The sequence below is a fragment of the Homo sapiens genome, chromosome 11 (genome assembly GCF_000001405.40).
Source record: "Homo sapiens chromosome 11, GRCh38.p14 Primary Assembly".
Classification (NCBI taxonomy): domain Eukaryota; kingdom Metazoa; phylum Chordata; class Mammalia; order Primates; family Hominidae; genus Homo; species Homo sapiens.
Genome location: NC_000011.10, coordinates 6544771 through 6559866, shown reverse-complemented (window position 1 = coordinate 6559866; position 15096 = coordinate 6544771). Strand labels below are relative to the sequence as shown.

At 45.7% G+C, this 15096-nt stretch overlaps 1 protein-coding gene across 1 annotated transcript in view; it reads right to left on the bottom strand.

Moving 5' to 3' along the window:
- Positions 1 to 15096, bottom strand: part of DNHD1 (dynein heavy chain domain 1) — a 74741-nt gene that overhangs the window by 12154 nt on the left and 47491 nt on the right. The window contains exons 21-28 of the mRNA NM_144666.3: positions 12201 to 15075; positions 11827 to 12004; positions 11465 to 11657; positions 10934 to 11222; positions 1570 to 3184; positions 1174 to 1382; positions 761 to 965; positions 584 to 686 (exon numbers count right to left, since the gene is read on the bottom strand). Coding sequence (NP_653267.2) covers positions 584 to 686; positions 761 to 965; positions 1174 to 1382; positions 1570 to 3184; positions 10934 to 11222; positions 11465 to 11657; positions 11827 to 12004; positions 12201 to 15075 — 5667 coding nt within the window. The remainder of the gene's footprint in view (positions 1 to 583; positions 687 to 760; positions 966 to 1173; positions 1383 to 1569; positions 3185 to 10933; positions 11223 to 11464; positions 11658 to 11826; positions 12005 to 12200; positions 15076 to 15096) is intronic.

The window sequence follows — 15096 nt, the reverse complement described above, 5'->3', positions numbered from 1 at the left end:
GGAAAAGTTGGTCACTGGAAAATGCCTGGTAGAGGAGGGTGAGTAAGACAATTCAGGACACTCTTGTCTAGTATACCATTATAAATTTACTTCTGGTTCTATGCCATAATACAAATTTCTCCCTGCTGCCATCACCCATCTACATGTCCTCACTGTATACAACAGTTTTGTTTGTTGCTTTTGTGGAAGAAAGGGTATGGGGACAAAGTGTTATGGAAAAAGAGGATAACTCTAAGAGGTGAGTGAGTGGTGACTGAGATGTAATGCCTGCCCCAACCCCCATGGGAATCTACAGAGATCTTGGCAGCATACTGAACTTCACATGATCATGGTACTAGGGGCAGCCAGAAGCAGATGCTTGGGTTTCACCTGTTATGAAGAATCAATCTGGTCTTAGCTGTATCATGGGAAACTTTTGAACCTAAGCTGTAAAGGAGGAGGCAGCGGAGATCAGAGAGATTTCCTAGGGAAAGGGGAAGCTTAGGGGGACAAGAATTAAGGTTCATTCTGGTTGCTTCCTTTCAAGTCCCCTTTGGGCTCCTGCTTTGACACCACCATGGAAGCCTCAAAATCATCTCCTTACCTTGCCGGAGTCTTTCAGCTGCTGTTCCAAGTCAAAGATCAGATTGGCATGGGTACCGTGCTCCTTAATCAGCATTCTCAGATTCTCCAAGGCATTCTGGACCCTGGAGATACAATGTGCTGGTGAGGAAACCCAAAGGAGCAGAAGGAGGTACACTGCAGGGGACGGGACACTCACCGCTGGGCCTTGTTCTTAATCTTCAGGATTGTCTGTTGCTGCAGCATCAGGAAAGTGTCCAGGAAGTCTAGGAAGGTCTTGGGGGTGACGAGTGGCAATGCAGGGCACAGGTGCTCATGGTAGTGGGTGGCCGAAAGGTGGATAAGAGCCATGGCTTTGGCCACACTGGGAATTGAGGCCTGGAGGTCTGGGTACTTCCAGGAGCCTGCAATGGGCATGGCTTTAGCCTCACTCTGTGAGCTTGTAGGAAAACAGGAAAGGAAAGGGATCCTCTCCTAGCTCAGGAAGAAGGGTAGGAAATGTGAAGGGGGCTCTGTAGGCTCTAGAGAGGGAGAGAGAGAGACTGACCTAGGTAATAACCCTCATTAGAGCCTGGTAGAGATGAGTGGTAAGGACAAGTAAAAAGGGCTTACCGTCATCAAGGGGCACACTCTGAGCACCCTCCAGGTGATGCTGGGCCACCTTGGCCAGGGCAGCTTGGTCCCAGGGTTCATAGCGGTCAATGCTGGCAGTGGCCAGTTGAAGGAGCCTCAGGAAAAGGGTGGAGGGCAGCTGCTTGTGGGCCTGTTTATCTCCAATCAGGAAGAACAGGTGAAGGTGGCTGCACACTTGCTGGTGGAACCTGTGGGCCAGGGCTCAGCTAATGTCCTCCCCTTTACCTTTGCTTGCCCCTCCTGGCCCCAGTCCCAGCCAGACCACTTAGCCCCAATCTTCTCAGCCCTCATGGCAGCCCACAGAATTCCTTTTGGCCTTTTGGCCAAGACAGCGTAAGAGCAGAGCAGATTCGCATATGGGGTTCTTGGCCTCACCTCTGCAACACCATTTCCTTCTTGATGTTCTGTTTGACACCAAGGTTCTCCCTGGGGAGGTGTTCTCCAATGCGGTCCAAATCTGCTTCTGTGTACTGGCCAGGGAAACTGCCTGAGGTTGCCAGGGCCAGGAGGCGATGAAGTGTAGTGAGATCCACACCACTGGGTACCAACAGAGCCACTGGCTGGCTTAACATGCCAGCATGCCAGCTGGCATCTCGTAGACATTGGAGAATGGCCTCCTCTGACCCAGATGGTAGATGAAAGAAATGGGCCTGACAAATGCTAGAAGCCAGAGTGATGGCAGTGTGGCGCCCAGTACCCAGAGCCCCCGAGAGCAGCAGGCCATGCTGCCGGGGCCTGGCCAGCACCCGGACCAGGCGGGCCACGTGCTGGGCCATGGAATGACACCGGGCCAGGTGGGGGCTCAACTTCAGTTGAGCAGCTGAGGTGGCCAACTGCTCCTCTAGCTTCTCCCACTGTCGTTCCAGGTACAAGTTGGGGGTCTCAGAGTTAGGCCCCAGTATCAGCTCCTGACTGAAGACCAGGTCTGAGGGCTTTTCCTGGGGATGTAGTAGTAACACTGGTAACAACAAGGGTGAGATCAGGTCCATCTGGGGTTTCTTCTGCCACCAAGTCTTGAATGATCTCCTTACCTGGAGCCTATAGTTGGATGCCCTTGTGCCTTTCTCTTGCCTTATCTTGTGACTTATGCTTTCCTTCATCCCCCTGCTTACTGGTCCTATGGATGGTGTTAGACTTGGATCTCTGGAGTTTGAGACTCTGGCGACCTGAAGGCCATAAGGTTCCTCTTCCTCCTCTGTTTCACTATTGCTGTTGCTGAAGTCCTCCCACTGGGCCAACTCCCCTTCAGATTCTACTTCGGGCACCCTCTCCTCCTCCTCCTCCTCCTCACTCTCCTGATGGTCCTTGCCCAGGTGCTGGGGCCCTGGCCCACAGCAGAAGACACTTTGAGCTACTACTAGGAGCAGCTTGGCACAGTAGGAGCGTTCCCTGGGGCTGTCCAGCCGGTCGCAAAAGGTTCTCTGTGCCTCATGCAACCAAAGACGCACCACATTGCGTGTGGCCATCATAACGGTCAGACAAGTGCCTCGCAGGCCTGACACCCGGCGCAAGTGCTCCTGGTGGTTGGGATAGTCCACAAAACCTCGGGAGCCTGTTCTGTTGGGCAGCAGCTGCAGGCTGCTCAGTAGGTGGCTCACAGAGTGTAGGGAGAAGTGGTAGTGTGGGTGGAGGGGTGAAGGCATGAAGCAATTGCACACAGCCTCCCAGGCCTCTACTGAGGCCCTAACCAGACCTCGTGCCAGAGCACGCTCCCGTTCCACAGAAGGGAAACGCTCAAGCCAAGCCTGAATGATAGGCACATGTCTTTCCAGCAGGGTGGCCTGGGTCATGCTTTCCAGGGCCAGGACTGTGAAGAGTCGAAAGAGGCGTGGACACAGTGGGCGCTCACAGTATCCTGGCACTGTGACAGTGGCAAGGAAGTTGACTGTAGGCTGCAGCGTCTGCAGTTCCAAGGTGCTGTGGGCATACACAGTGCCATCCATGGCCTGGCGCAGAGTCTCCAACACTGGCTGGCAGCTCTTCTCTGGGTCTATGGGACATGAGGAATAATAATGAGGACATGTAAAAGTCCACATGAGAGTATCAACCTGTTCCCTCTATTCCTGCCACACACGGTTCTAAAGGAATTTTGTGAATCTGACGTGTTGGGACTTGGTCACATTTGAGTAAGCTATTCTCCCTCCCCCACATTCTCCCTAAAATTGAGGAATTTCTTCTCTCTTCTCCCTAGATCCTACCTCTGTGACTTATTATTCATTAACCGAAGGTTAATAATGATAATAATGAATAATCATTAACTGAAGGTTAATGAATAATAAGATTTGGAAGCTGAGAAGGATAGAAACCAGATCGATCACAATTAGCAGGAAAGCGCAATCATTTCAGTCAAAGAGAATACAGTTATATCACATGTGCACTTAAAAAAAAATCAACTTTAGGCTGGGAGGTGGTGGCTCACTCCTGTAATCAACACTTTTGGAGGCTGAGATGGAAAGATTTCTTGAGGCCAGGAGTTCAAGACCAGCCTGGGTAACATAGCAAGACCTTGTTTCTACAAAAAATGAAAAATAAAATAGCTGGGCCTGGTGATGTGTGCTGTAGACCTGTCTACTTGGGAGGCTAAGGCTGGAGGATCACTTGAGCACAAGAGCTTGAGTGAGCCCTGATCGCACCATCCAGCCTGAGTGGCAGAGTGAGACTTTGTCTCTAAAAATAATAATAATAATAAATTTTAAAAATAAATTTTATTAAGACATGATTTACATACAACAAAATGTATACATTTTAAGTGTACAGTTCAGTGAATTTTGACTAATGTACACACCTGTGTCATCACCACCCCAATGATATTTAGAACATTTTCATCACCCTAGAAAGTTCCTCATGCTCCTTTAAAGCCAATCAATCCCTCTGCCACCACCATCACAGGCATTGTTATTTGATCGGATTTCCATCACTATAGGTTAGCTTTGTCTGTTCTAGAACCTCATATAAATAGAATCATACGGTATGTACTTGATCATGTCTATCTTCTTTTACTCAGCAGGTTTTTGAGACTCATCCATGTTTTTGCGTGTTTCCTTAGTTTGTTCCATTTTATTCCTGAGTAGTATTTTTCTGAGAGCCCCCAGTTAAACTGGTGTTCTAGTACCAGAGCAGCCAACAACCCTGCCCTAACAGGAAATAAAGGGGAGCTGAGTGTGGGGGTTTACAGTGTGCCTTTCACAGGATACTTCTTTTATCTGATGGACAGCCTAATGCCTAGTTGTCTGACCTGTGACCAGAGAGTCCTTCACACAGAAAACTTATTCTGGTTCTTTAGATAGAAGGACAAATTCAATACACCACAACAATAGGAAACAAGTTCAAAGATTTTTACTTAATCCTGTGCAAGGAGGGCATAATGAGCCGGGAGATCAGTCCTCCATCCTCATGTCACCTGAGGCAGCAATGAAGAGTTAGATTGAGAGAGACAGAGAGAGAAAGAGACAGAGAGAGAGACAGAGAGAGAGGGAATGAGGGAGGAGAGGAGGGATGGAGGGAGGGACTGGCAGTATATGTAAGGGAATAGGGTGTGGGTCATTTTAAGTTTTCAGGCAAATGCCTGAATGGCCTGTTTTTAAAGGAAAGGAGGCAAAGCAGGGAGCTAGTCTGCTGGGTGGGAGAGGCGCTTCTAAACTCTTATCTCTTGCCACCACCTGGAGCCATTTGGGTGGAGATGTGGATTTACCATTATACAGAACAATGCTGCTATGAATGTTCATGTATACTAAGTTTGAGGATATGCGGTTCTCATTTTACTTGGGTGAATACCTAAGAGTGGAATTGCTGGGTCATATGTTAAGTAATATTTAATTTTGTAAGAAACTGGCATATATTTTTTATAGTGGATGTACCATTTTACATTCTCACCATCAAAGTGAGAGAGTTTCAGTTGCTCTACATCTTTGAAAACACTTATTATTGTCAGTCTTTTTAATTATCACATGGTGGTTTAAATTTGCAGTTCACTGATGCCTGATAATATCAAGCATCTTTTTGTATACTGTTGCCCACTCATACATCTTTTGTGAAGTGTAAGTCTTTTGTCCATTTAAAACATTGGGATGATGTTTGTTTTCTTATTGAGTTGTAAGAGTTTTTTATGTATTCTAGGTTCAAGTCCTTTGTCAGATACATGTATCATGCATGTTTTCTCTGTCAATAGCTTATTTTTTTCATTTTCGTAACAGTGTCTTTTGAAGGGCATAGGTTTTCAATTTTGATAAAATTTAGTTTTTGTGCCCAAGAAATCATTGCCCAACCAAGGTCACACAGATTTTTCTCCAATTTTTTTCTAAAAATTTTATAGTTTTAGCTTTAGGTCTGTGATCCACCTATAATTTATTTTTATCTAGATTTTGAGGTAGAATACATGGTTCATTTTTTTCCATGCATATATCCAGATGTTCCAGCACCATTTTTTGAAAAGGCTATCCTTTCCCCCATTGAATTATCTTGGCACATTTATTAAAAATCAACTGGCCACATATGACTATATATCAGATTTTCTGTTCTATTCCATTAGTCCATATGTATATCCTTATACCAATACCACACTCTCTTCATTACAACAACTGTATAGCAAGTTTTAACATCACTAGTGTAGGTGTCCCAACTTTGTTCTTTTTCAAAGTTGCTTGGCTGCTCTAGATCTTTTGCATTGCTATATAAGTTTCAGAATAAGACTGTCAACTTACCAAAAAAAAATCTGTTAAGATTTAGCTTGGCATTGCATTGAATCTATAGATCATTTGGGGGAGAATGAAGACCTTAATGATACTGACTCTTCTGATCCATGAACATCATATATTTCTCCATTTATTTACATTTCCTCTATCTCAGCAATATTTAGTCATTTTCAGTGTACAGATCTTGAATGCTTTTAATTAAATTTATTCCTAAGTATTTTATGCTTTTAAATGACTTTTAAGTGATATTTTAAAATTTCAATTTCCAATGTTTTGTTACTAGGATATAGAAGTACAAATGATTTCAATGGATTGATTCTGTATCCTGTGACCCTGATGAATTAACTTATTTATTGTAGTAGTTTTTTATGGGGTTTAAAAAAATATTCCTTTGGGGTCTCTATGTAGACAATCATATTACATGCCAATACAGACAGTTTTAACTTGTCTTTTCTAATTTTAAAAGCTTTTATTTCTTTTTCTTAATTGCGTCGATGTGGTCTCCAGTACAGTGTTGAATAGAAGCAGTGAGTATGTTCTTGCCTTTTAACTGATTTTAGGGGGACAGTATTCAATATTTAACCATTAAGTATGTATTTAGCTGTAAGTATAATAGATGCTTTTCATCAAATTGAGAAAGTTATCTTCTATTCCTAGTTTCCTGGGAGTTATGGAATAGTGTTGGAATTTTGTCAAGTGATTTTTATCTACTAATATTACTTACTCATTTGCTCCTTTATTCTGTTAATGTGAGCTACACTGATTGATTTTTCAATGTTTAGTCAGCTTTGCCTTCCCAGGATAGACTCCGTTTGGTCTTAAGATATTATTCTTTTTGTATGTTGCTGAATTTTATTTAATAATATTTCAGTGAGGATTTATTTTTGCATTTAGGTTTATGAAAGATAACAGTTTATTTCTTTGCTTGAAATGTCTTCATCATGGCTTAGTATTCTCCATTTTCTGAAAAAGTATATATAAGTTGTACTTTTTTTCTAAATATTTGATATAATTCAACTGTATAACCATCTGGGACTGGAAACATTTATTATGCATTCAAACTTTTCTTAGGTATGAGGCTGTTCATTTTCTATTATTTTTCTTCTTTTGTTCAAGCTTTGACAAGTTATGTTTTTGTAAGGCATGTGATATGGTTTGGCTCTGTGTCCCCAACCAAATTTTGTCTTGAATTGTAATCCCCATATGTTGAGGGAGGGACCTGGTGGGAGGTGAGTGGATCACGGGGCCGGCTTCCCCCATGCTGTTCTCATGATAGTGAGCAATTTCTCATAAGTTCTGATGGTACATCTCTTCACCCCACCCCGCCCCCGCCAACTGCTATGTAAGATGTGCCTTGCCTCCCCTTCGCCTTTTGCCACGACTTTAAGTTTCCTGAGGGCTCCCCATCCATGCGGAACTGTGAGTCAATTAAACCTACTTATATATATATATTTTTTGGGACGAAGTTTTGCTCTTGTCACCCAGGCTGGAGTGCAATGGCGTGATCCTGGCTCGTTGCAACCTCTGCCTCCCAGGTTCAAGCGATTCTCCTGCCTCAGCCTCCCAAGTAGTTGGGATTACAGGTGACCCCCACCACACCCAGCTAATTTTTGTATTTTTAGTAGAGATGGGGTTTCACCATGTTGGCCAGGCTGGTCTCAAACTCCTGACCTCAAGGGATCAACCTGCCTCAGCCTCCCAAAGTGCTGGGATTACAGGCGTGAGCCACCATGCCTGGCCTAACCCTCTTTTCTTTATGAATTACCCAGTCTCAAGTAGTTCTTTATTGCAGTGTGAAAACAGACTAATACAGCATGTATCCATTTCACCTAAGTTGCTAAATTTATTAGCATAAAGTTTTTCATAATTTTCCCTTATTATCCATTTTTTAAAACTTTTTTTTTTAAATGAGGGTCCCACTATGCTGCCCAGGCTGGTCTTGAACTCCTGGCCTTAAGAAATCCTCCTGCCTAAGCCTCCCTCCCTAGTAGCTGGGATTACAGGTGCATGCCACCATGCCTGGCTCCCCTTTTTTTTTTTGGAGACGGAGTCTCGCTCTGTCACCAGGCTGGAGTGCAGTGGTGCAAATCTCAGCTCACCGCAACTTCCACCTCCCTGGTTCAAGCAATTCTCCTGCCTCAGCCTCCCGAGTAGCTGTGATTACAGGTACATGCCACCATGCCCAGCTAATTTTTGCATTTTTAGTAGAGACGGGGTTTCACCATGTTGGCCAGGATGGTCTCCATCTCCTGACCTCGTGATCTGCCCTCCTTGGCCTCCCAAAGTGCCGGGATTACAGGCGTGAGCCACAGTGCCCGGCCCTGGCTCCCTTTTTATCCTTTTAAATATCTTTAATAAAACCTCTTTCATTCCTGATATTCAAAATTTATGTTTTCCTTTTCATTTCTTGATTTGTGTTAATAGGCGATTGTCAATTTTATCTTTTTCAAAGAAACAAAATATGGCTTTGTTGATATTCTCCATTGTTTGTATGTTTTTCTATTTCACTGATTTCTGCTCTGTTCTTTATTATTGATTTCCTTTTAATTGCTTTGGGTATAACTTGCTCTTCTTTTTCTAGAGTCTTAAGCTGAAAATTTAGGTCATTGATTCCAAGCTTTTCTCTCTAAGATAGATATTTAAAGCTATAACCTTTAGTTGCATCTCACAAATTTTGATATGTTTTGTTTTCATTATTATTTAGTTCAAAACATTCTCTAATTTCTCTTGTAATTTCTTTTTTGGTACATTATTTAGAAGTGTGTTAATTTTAAAGAATTTGGAAATTCTCTAGGCATCTTATCAATATTTGTATTGTTATGGTCAGATAAAATATTATTTAAAATGTTAATCCTTTGAAATTTGTTGAGACTTATTTTGTAACCCAGCATATGGTCTATCTTGGTGAATGTTTCATGTGCATTTGAAAAGAAGGTGCATTTTGCAGTTGGTGAGTATAATGTTTTGTAAATGTCAGTGTGTTGCTAGTGTTATTCAGATCTTTAATGTCCCTACTTTCTTGCTCCTTGTCTTATCAGTTATTGTGAGAGGCATATTAATTTCTTAATATGATTTCAGATTTACTATGTCTCTTTTGTTTCTATTGGCTTTTTTTCCCTATACTTAAATGTCTATTTTAGGTGTGGACACATTTAAGACTTTTGTCTTTCTGATGAGTTGAATCTTTCAATTATGAGATGTCCTTTTCTATCTCTGGTAATATCCTTTGTCTTAAAGTGCTTTGGTATTAATATTGCCACATCAACTTCCTTATGCAAACTATTTCTGTAGTAAATATTTTGCATTAAAAACTTCTTTTAATCTATCTGTGTTTTTATATTTAAAGTGCATCTTTTGGACAGCGTACAGCTATATAGATCTCAGGGTCAGTTTCTATTCTATTGCTTGCTTCTTCTTGACAGCAGGTCACATTATTTTCTGGGGGTTTTTGTTGGCATGTCTATTTATTTTTTATTTTATACTGGATGTTCTGGTGGTTGTCACTCAAGGACACCTTTTACATTCTGCCAGCAGTAATATTCTTCACTCTACAATGTTGCTGAAGTCTCTTCTCAGCTGAAATCTCTTCATATATCTGACTGTACCACTCTTTACTCCTTCTATTGTCTCTAATTTTGTGCAAATTCATTGCAAAGACCAAATAATATAGCTGGAAGGAACTACAGGTTTTGGAACCAAATAGACTTGAATTTTAATCTTGGTTCTGACACTTCATAGCTAGGGTATCTTGGGCAAGTTCTAAAATCTCTGTCTCTGTTTCTTCATCTTTAAAATAATTGCAAAAATTCCCCATCTTACTTGGCTTTTATGAGCACTGAAGATGACATAGACATATCATAGAGCACATAGTAGATATTCAATAAATTGTACTGGCTATTATTAAGTACGAATACATCTGGTTCAAGTTTTCTACATCTCATAAGAGACTTCGCTGTTTAACTGGATAGCCTATCCAGTGCTTCAGCCCATTGACTTCCTTGACTCCAACAACCTCTACCTAAAATTCACTTCCCAATCCCATGGCCATATTTAGAAACTCTCATCATCTAGAGGCATACCACTTTAGAAACTTTACACTTCAATATCCCAAATTTTTATCAAGATTTTTCTCCTTTCCTTTGTTATCTTGTCTTCTACAAACTTTTATTGAGCACTTACTTCCTGTTGGGTCTACCAAAATGAATGAGACAAATTTCTGTTCTCTGTTCTCATAAATCTCCAAGTGTGGTGAAAGGGACAGATAGGCAAGCATACAATAATAAAATCATGGTTATCACAGATTATTGTACAGAGCACAGGATGGATATCTAACCGAGCCTATGGATCAGGCTTCCTGGAGAAGCTACTGCCTTAGGTAATTTAGAAATAATAAGTAGAATTTAGCCACATAGAGAAGGCAGAGAGGACAGCAATCCCAGGGTCTAGAGGAAGCCTGACTTGTTAAGTCCAATTAGAGAGAGTGTAAGAGGACACAGAAGAAAGCCTCATCACAGAAAGCTTTGTAAGAGCATTTGTCAGATTTCCAAGTAAAGATCATCTGAACCATGGAAATAAGTGGAAAGATTCAAGAAATATGAAGGAGGTAGGATTGAAAAGACATGGTGACTGGATATTGGTGAAGGAGAATGAGATGTCAACAAGATTTCTGGCTTACATGACTGGCTGGATGGTGAAACTAAGAGGACAGACAGGAGCAGATTTTGGCCGCGGGGAGATGATGAGCTCAGGGTTGGGTCTGAGGTACCAACAGGACAACAAGGTGGAGACGTACAGTAGACAGCTGGATAGACAGATCTGGTGCTTAGAAAAGAAGTGAGATTGGACACAGAGATTTAGCAAAGCAGAGATGAGGCCATGAGAGTGGATGGGATTGTTCAGGGAGCATATGTAGAATGAGAAGATATTAAGAACAGAACACTAAAGTTAGATCTACAGACATATATTTGAGAGTCAATGAATATTGCTAGGGATTTTATAGTCTCAAGAGATGACAGTAGCTCCTTCCTTCCCTCTTCGCAGCTCCTCACCAGAAGTGGCTAGGTGCAGGTCCTCCAGCAAGAAGAGGAGGGAGGGTTTAGAATCCTGGTGATGCCCAGGCTGTGGGCTGGCTTGTGTTTGGCCCTGGATTCCTCTGCTCAGCAGGAGACGGAGGTGGGAGGAACTGAAGGCAGGGTGGATGGGGCTGTATATGTAAGGGTGATGTGGCTCTACCAGCACCTCCACAAAGGCTGACTTCCCTGTTGCTGCCTCTCCAGCCAGCAACACTGGCTGTCCCCCTGACAGAAGCAGGTCCACCACATACAAGAGCCGTTCAGTCTGCAAGACAGAAGTGGGACTTACTGCAGCACCTCCAGTATAAGACAGTAATCTAGCTGAAAATAAAAGTCTAAGGGACTTGTCCTAGAGCTGTACTTGGAAAATATTTCATGTATTCTTGTGATTGTGAAAATATATCAAAGAAAGGGAGCAAGTGGGCCTCAGCTGATCTTTGAACATGGATTACCCCTAAAATAAGTCCTGAAGTTCTAACCCCAGCTCTTGCCTTACTGTCCTCACACCTGGATAGAAGGGTGAAAGGTGCCCAAAGTTCCTTTGATGTGGCTGCTCAGGTATTGGCCAGTGAAGGGGACCAGTGTTCCATCTTCAGGGCTTACATGTAGATCAAACACCAAGGCTGAGGGTGGTGGCTCAGGGTAGTTGGAGAGGCGACTAATAGAATCCCTTATGAAGGTATCAAAGATGGGCCAGAACCTGCTCAGATGGACACACAGGCAAAAGCGTCAGACAGTTACAACACTTCCATTTATGACACACTCACACACTCCACCATACCCTAACAGTGATGTCATGTGGGTTTTTACTTCCATGGGCCAGTCCATCTCAGCCCTCTGCATCTCCCATCCCCCATCCTGGTAGGTACCTGGAGGGAAGGTGGGCTCCAAAGCCCCAGATCAAGGCAAAAAGAAAACTGCTGACAGCCAGCAAGTGTTCCCTGCACTTATCTGGCACATCGTCACTGTCAACCTGGGACCGGTTTAGAAAGCTGCTTTTTGAAGACCTGAAGCTTTGGGCCACAGGATCACTATAGCTGAGGTCCTCTGTGAAAGTTGCCATGGCCACGAGAGGAGCCCCAGTAGAAAAAGGTGGAAGGTGAAAGAAAGAAAAAAGGTTGACAGTATTACTTTTCACTCCTGGCCCAGATCCACCAAAGAACACACGCCCCAGGCTCCAGCTATATACCCCAGCTACCCTTAAGGCCCCATCTCTCTCAAACCAGCCCGTCCATCTTCCCACCTGGGCCAGGGGCCTTCTCCTCCTTTAGGCGAAGGTGGAGGTCAAGCAGACTATGCAAGATGCGTGCCATGCTGGTAACTTCTGCCACACCTGCACAAACAGCCTGCTGCCCGTGTACCTGCAGCAGAGAGCTGACACCTTGGCAGGTGAGGAATCGCAATGTTGCAGGCACCAGAACCTCAGCCATGTGGTTGAGCTCAGCGACTGTCCGGTGCTGCAGGCGGTACTCATAAGGAAGGGATGCCATCAGGGCACTAAGTATACACTGCCAAGTCTGCTCTCCACCACACCAGACTAGGGCACAACAGCCTACCACTGTGGGGGATATGCCTGTTGTGTCAGCCACCTCCATCAAGAGAAAGGTGCCTGGGGGTCGTGCTATCTGCTGTCCACTGGGGAGACTAAGCTGGGGAAGCTCACTCAGGAGGCAAGTGATGGAGTCCAGCCAAGCACCATTGGAGGCTCCATCACATATTATCCAGTGCTGGATCCCGATTGATTCCTCTGTCTGCCTCTTTTGGCCCATGTTGTTACACTGACCGGCTGCACGAAGTACCTTGGGAAAGATGCCATGATGCCAGCAGGAGCCCTCTAGCCATCCCAGGAACTCCTGGGGGCTGAGGCCACTGGGGTACAGGTGGGTAATTTCCACAGGCTGGCAGCCTTGGGTTGAGGTGTCCTCCATGGCTGCCAGCCGATTCTGGATCTTAAATAAGCTGTGCCAACAAGTGGTCTTGCCGCTGCCCGCAGGGCCCAGGAGCAGAATGCCTGAGGCCCGGCTCAGGGCCTGGCTCAACTGTTCCAAGGACCCCAAAATGTCAGGGCTGGGATCCAGACCTACCTGTTGCAGTTCCTCCACCACCAATGGCTTCATCAGCTTGTAAGTCATAGGTTCTGCCAGCACTTGGCTGGCGCTAGGGAAAAGCGCACACAACAGCCCTCGGAGGTTGTGCAGGTGGAGCCCATTGAGAATGCTAAACAGTGGTGAGCGCAGTAGGGCAGCCTCCTCAATGGCAGCTAGGCTGCGAGGCTTCTGGCACTTCGGTTCCTCCTTGGTCACATTTAGTGTCCGTATTGTGTCTTCCAGTATCTGCTTGAGCAGTGGCAGGCGGCAGGGCAGGGGCCCAGACACCAGCTCACGCTCTAGAGAGAAGAATTTGGATAGGCGGGTAGCCATCTGGAAGGCATCCCTCATCCCTGCACCCAGCAGAGTCAGCTCTGCCACTTGCCGCAGATCAGGCAATGCCAATGCCACAGGCCGCAGCAGCAGGTGCAGGTTGGCAGGCACAGCAGAGCTCAGGGCACGCAGTACCAGGAGACAGCCATAGCCAAGGCGCACAGACACGTGATGTTTTTCAAAGAAGCTACTGCCAAGGAGCTGGGGCTGGGTGGGGTCTATGGTGCTTGTGTTTCGGGAAGCCTCCTGGTACAGTGGGGCATACAAGTGGTGCAGTTCACCCAGGCGCTGGCCCAGGGCAGAGAGCAAGCCAGGGGGCAGCTGATGAACTTTCTCCAACAGCAGCCAGGCACCACCCTGCAGGGCACCATTCAGATAGTTGCTCAGGCATTGAGCCTCTATCTGAGGTGAGCAGGGTAGCATCACCAGCTGGCGGCCCAGGGCCTGTGCCAGGCTGTTCACTATAGCTCTCTTGCCCACACCATTAGGACCCAGTACGGTCCCACAGGCCACCTCCTCTAGGGCCAATAATAGTACCAGGGCTGGCCGTTCAGGCAGTAGGCTGGGTAGAGGCCCTAGTCTAGGTCCCAGATACTCGTAATTGTACAGGAAGGACCTGCCTAGCACATCTATCCAGCATGCCGCTGGTGACAGAGAGGGTTCAGAAGATGCAATAGTCTTAAGACTCTGTAGGGGGCTTTTGGGGATTATGTGAGGTGAACCCAAGTGATACTTGAGTTGGCGGACCCAGTGAAAGTCTGTGAGATCACTGACCTGGTGCTGTTCCAGCAGCTGTGCTATATCCCGGTGAGTCACTGCCATGACCAGCAGGGCACTGAGAAGGCTGGTCTGGCGGACAGAAGGCAGGGACTGCCCACCTTGGGAAGCCCTCTGGGCCCGCATAAAATTCACCAGTACCTCAAGCTTGCGCATATGCATGGAGACCATGGCCAGGGTACCCCACTCAAGCAGAGCCTCCTCCATCTCGGCCCGCCATACCACCTCCTCTGCCACCAGCACACACTGCCATGGGAAGGCCTGGACTAAGTCGATCCAGTGCTGGACATACAGTTGCAGGTACAACTTGTTTTGCTTGGGCAGTTGCTTGAGGGCCTCACCTAGAGATGGGCCTCGAGCAAGGCGAGCAGCCACACAGCCCTGCAGCATGTGCACCAGTGCCAAGCGCAGACACTTCTCCAGAGAGGCCAGCCACTTAGGGAGATCTGGATGCAGAGGAAGGGGACCCTGCAGCTTCACCTCCTCCCCACCTGCCCCTAGCACTGCAAGTGCCTCCACCTGAGTCTGTGTGTTTGGGCTTGACTCCCAGTCATCTGTGTTTTTCTCACCAGTTGGGCAAGACCTGAAGCTCACAGCATGCACATGAGGAAAGCAGCGTCGTACCCATAGCTGGGCTTCGCATGATTCCAGTCGAGCAGCCAGCAGGGCTACCAGCTCACTGTCACTAAGGAAGAAGAGGCGGGGGAAGTGAGCACACACCCCATAGAGCACGCTCTCCAGACTCATGATGATGCCCTCCAGCTCCACCGATCCTGCTTGCAGCAGTTGTTGCAGCTGCTGGCCTTGGAAGTAAGGGCTCCTCTCGGCACTGGGCACTACAAGTGACAGAACCATGGGGTCAGCTACAGAGATGCGCATCAGGGTTCGATACTGGTCATCCATGACCTTGAAACGAGAGTTCTGTGGTGAGGGAGAGGATAA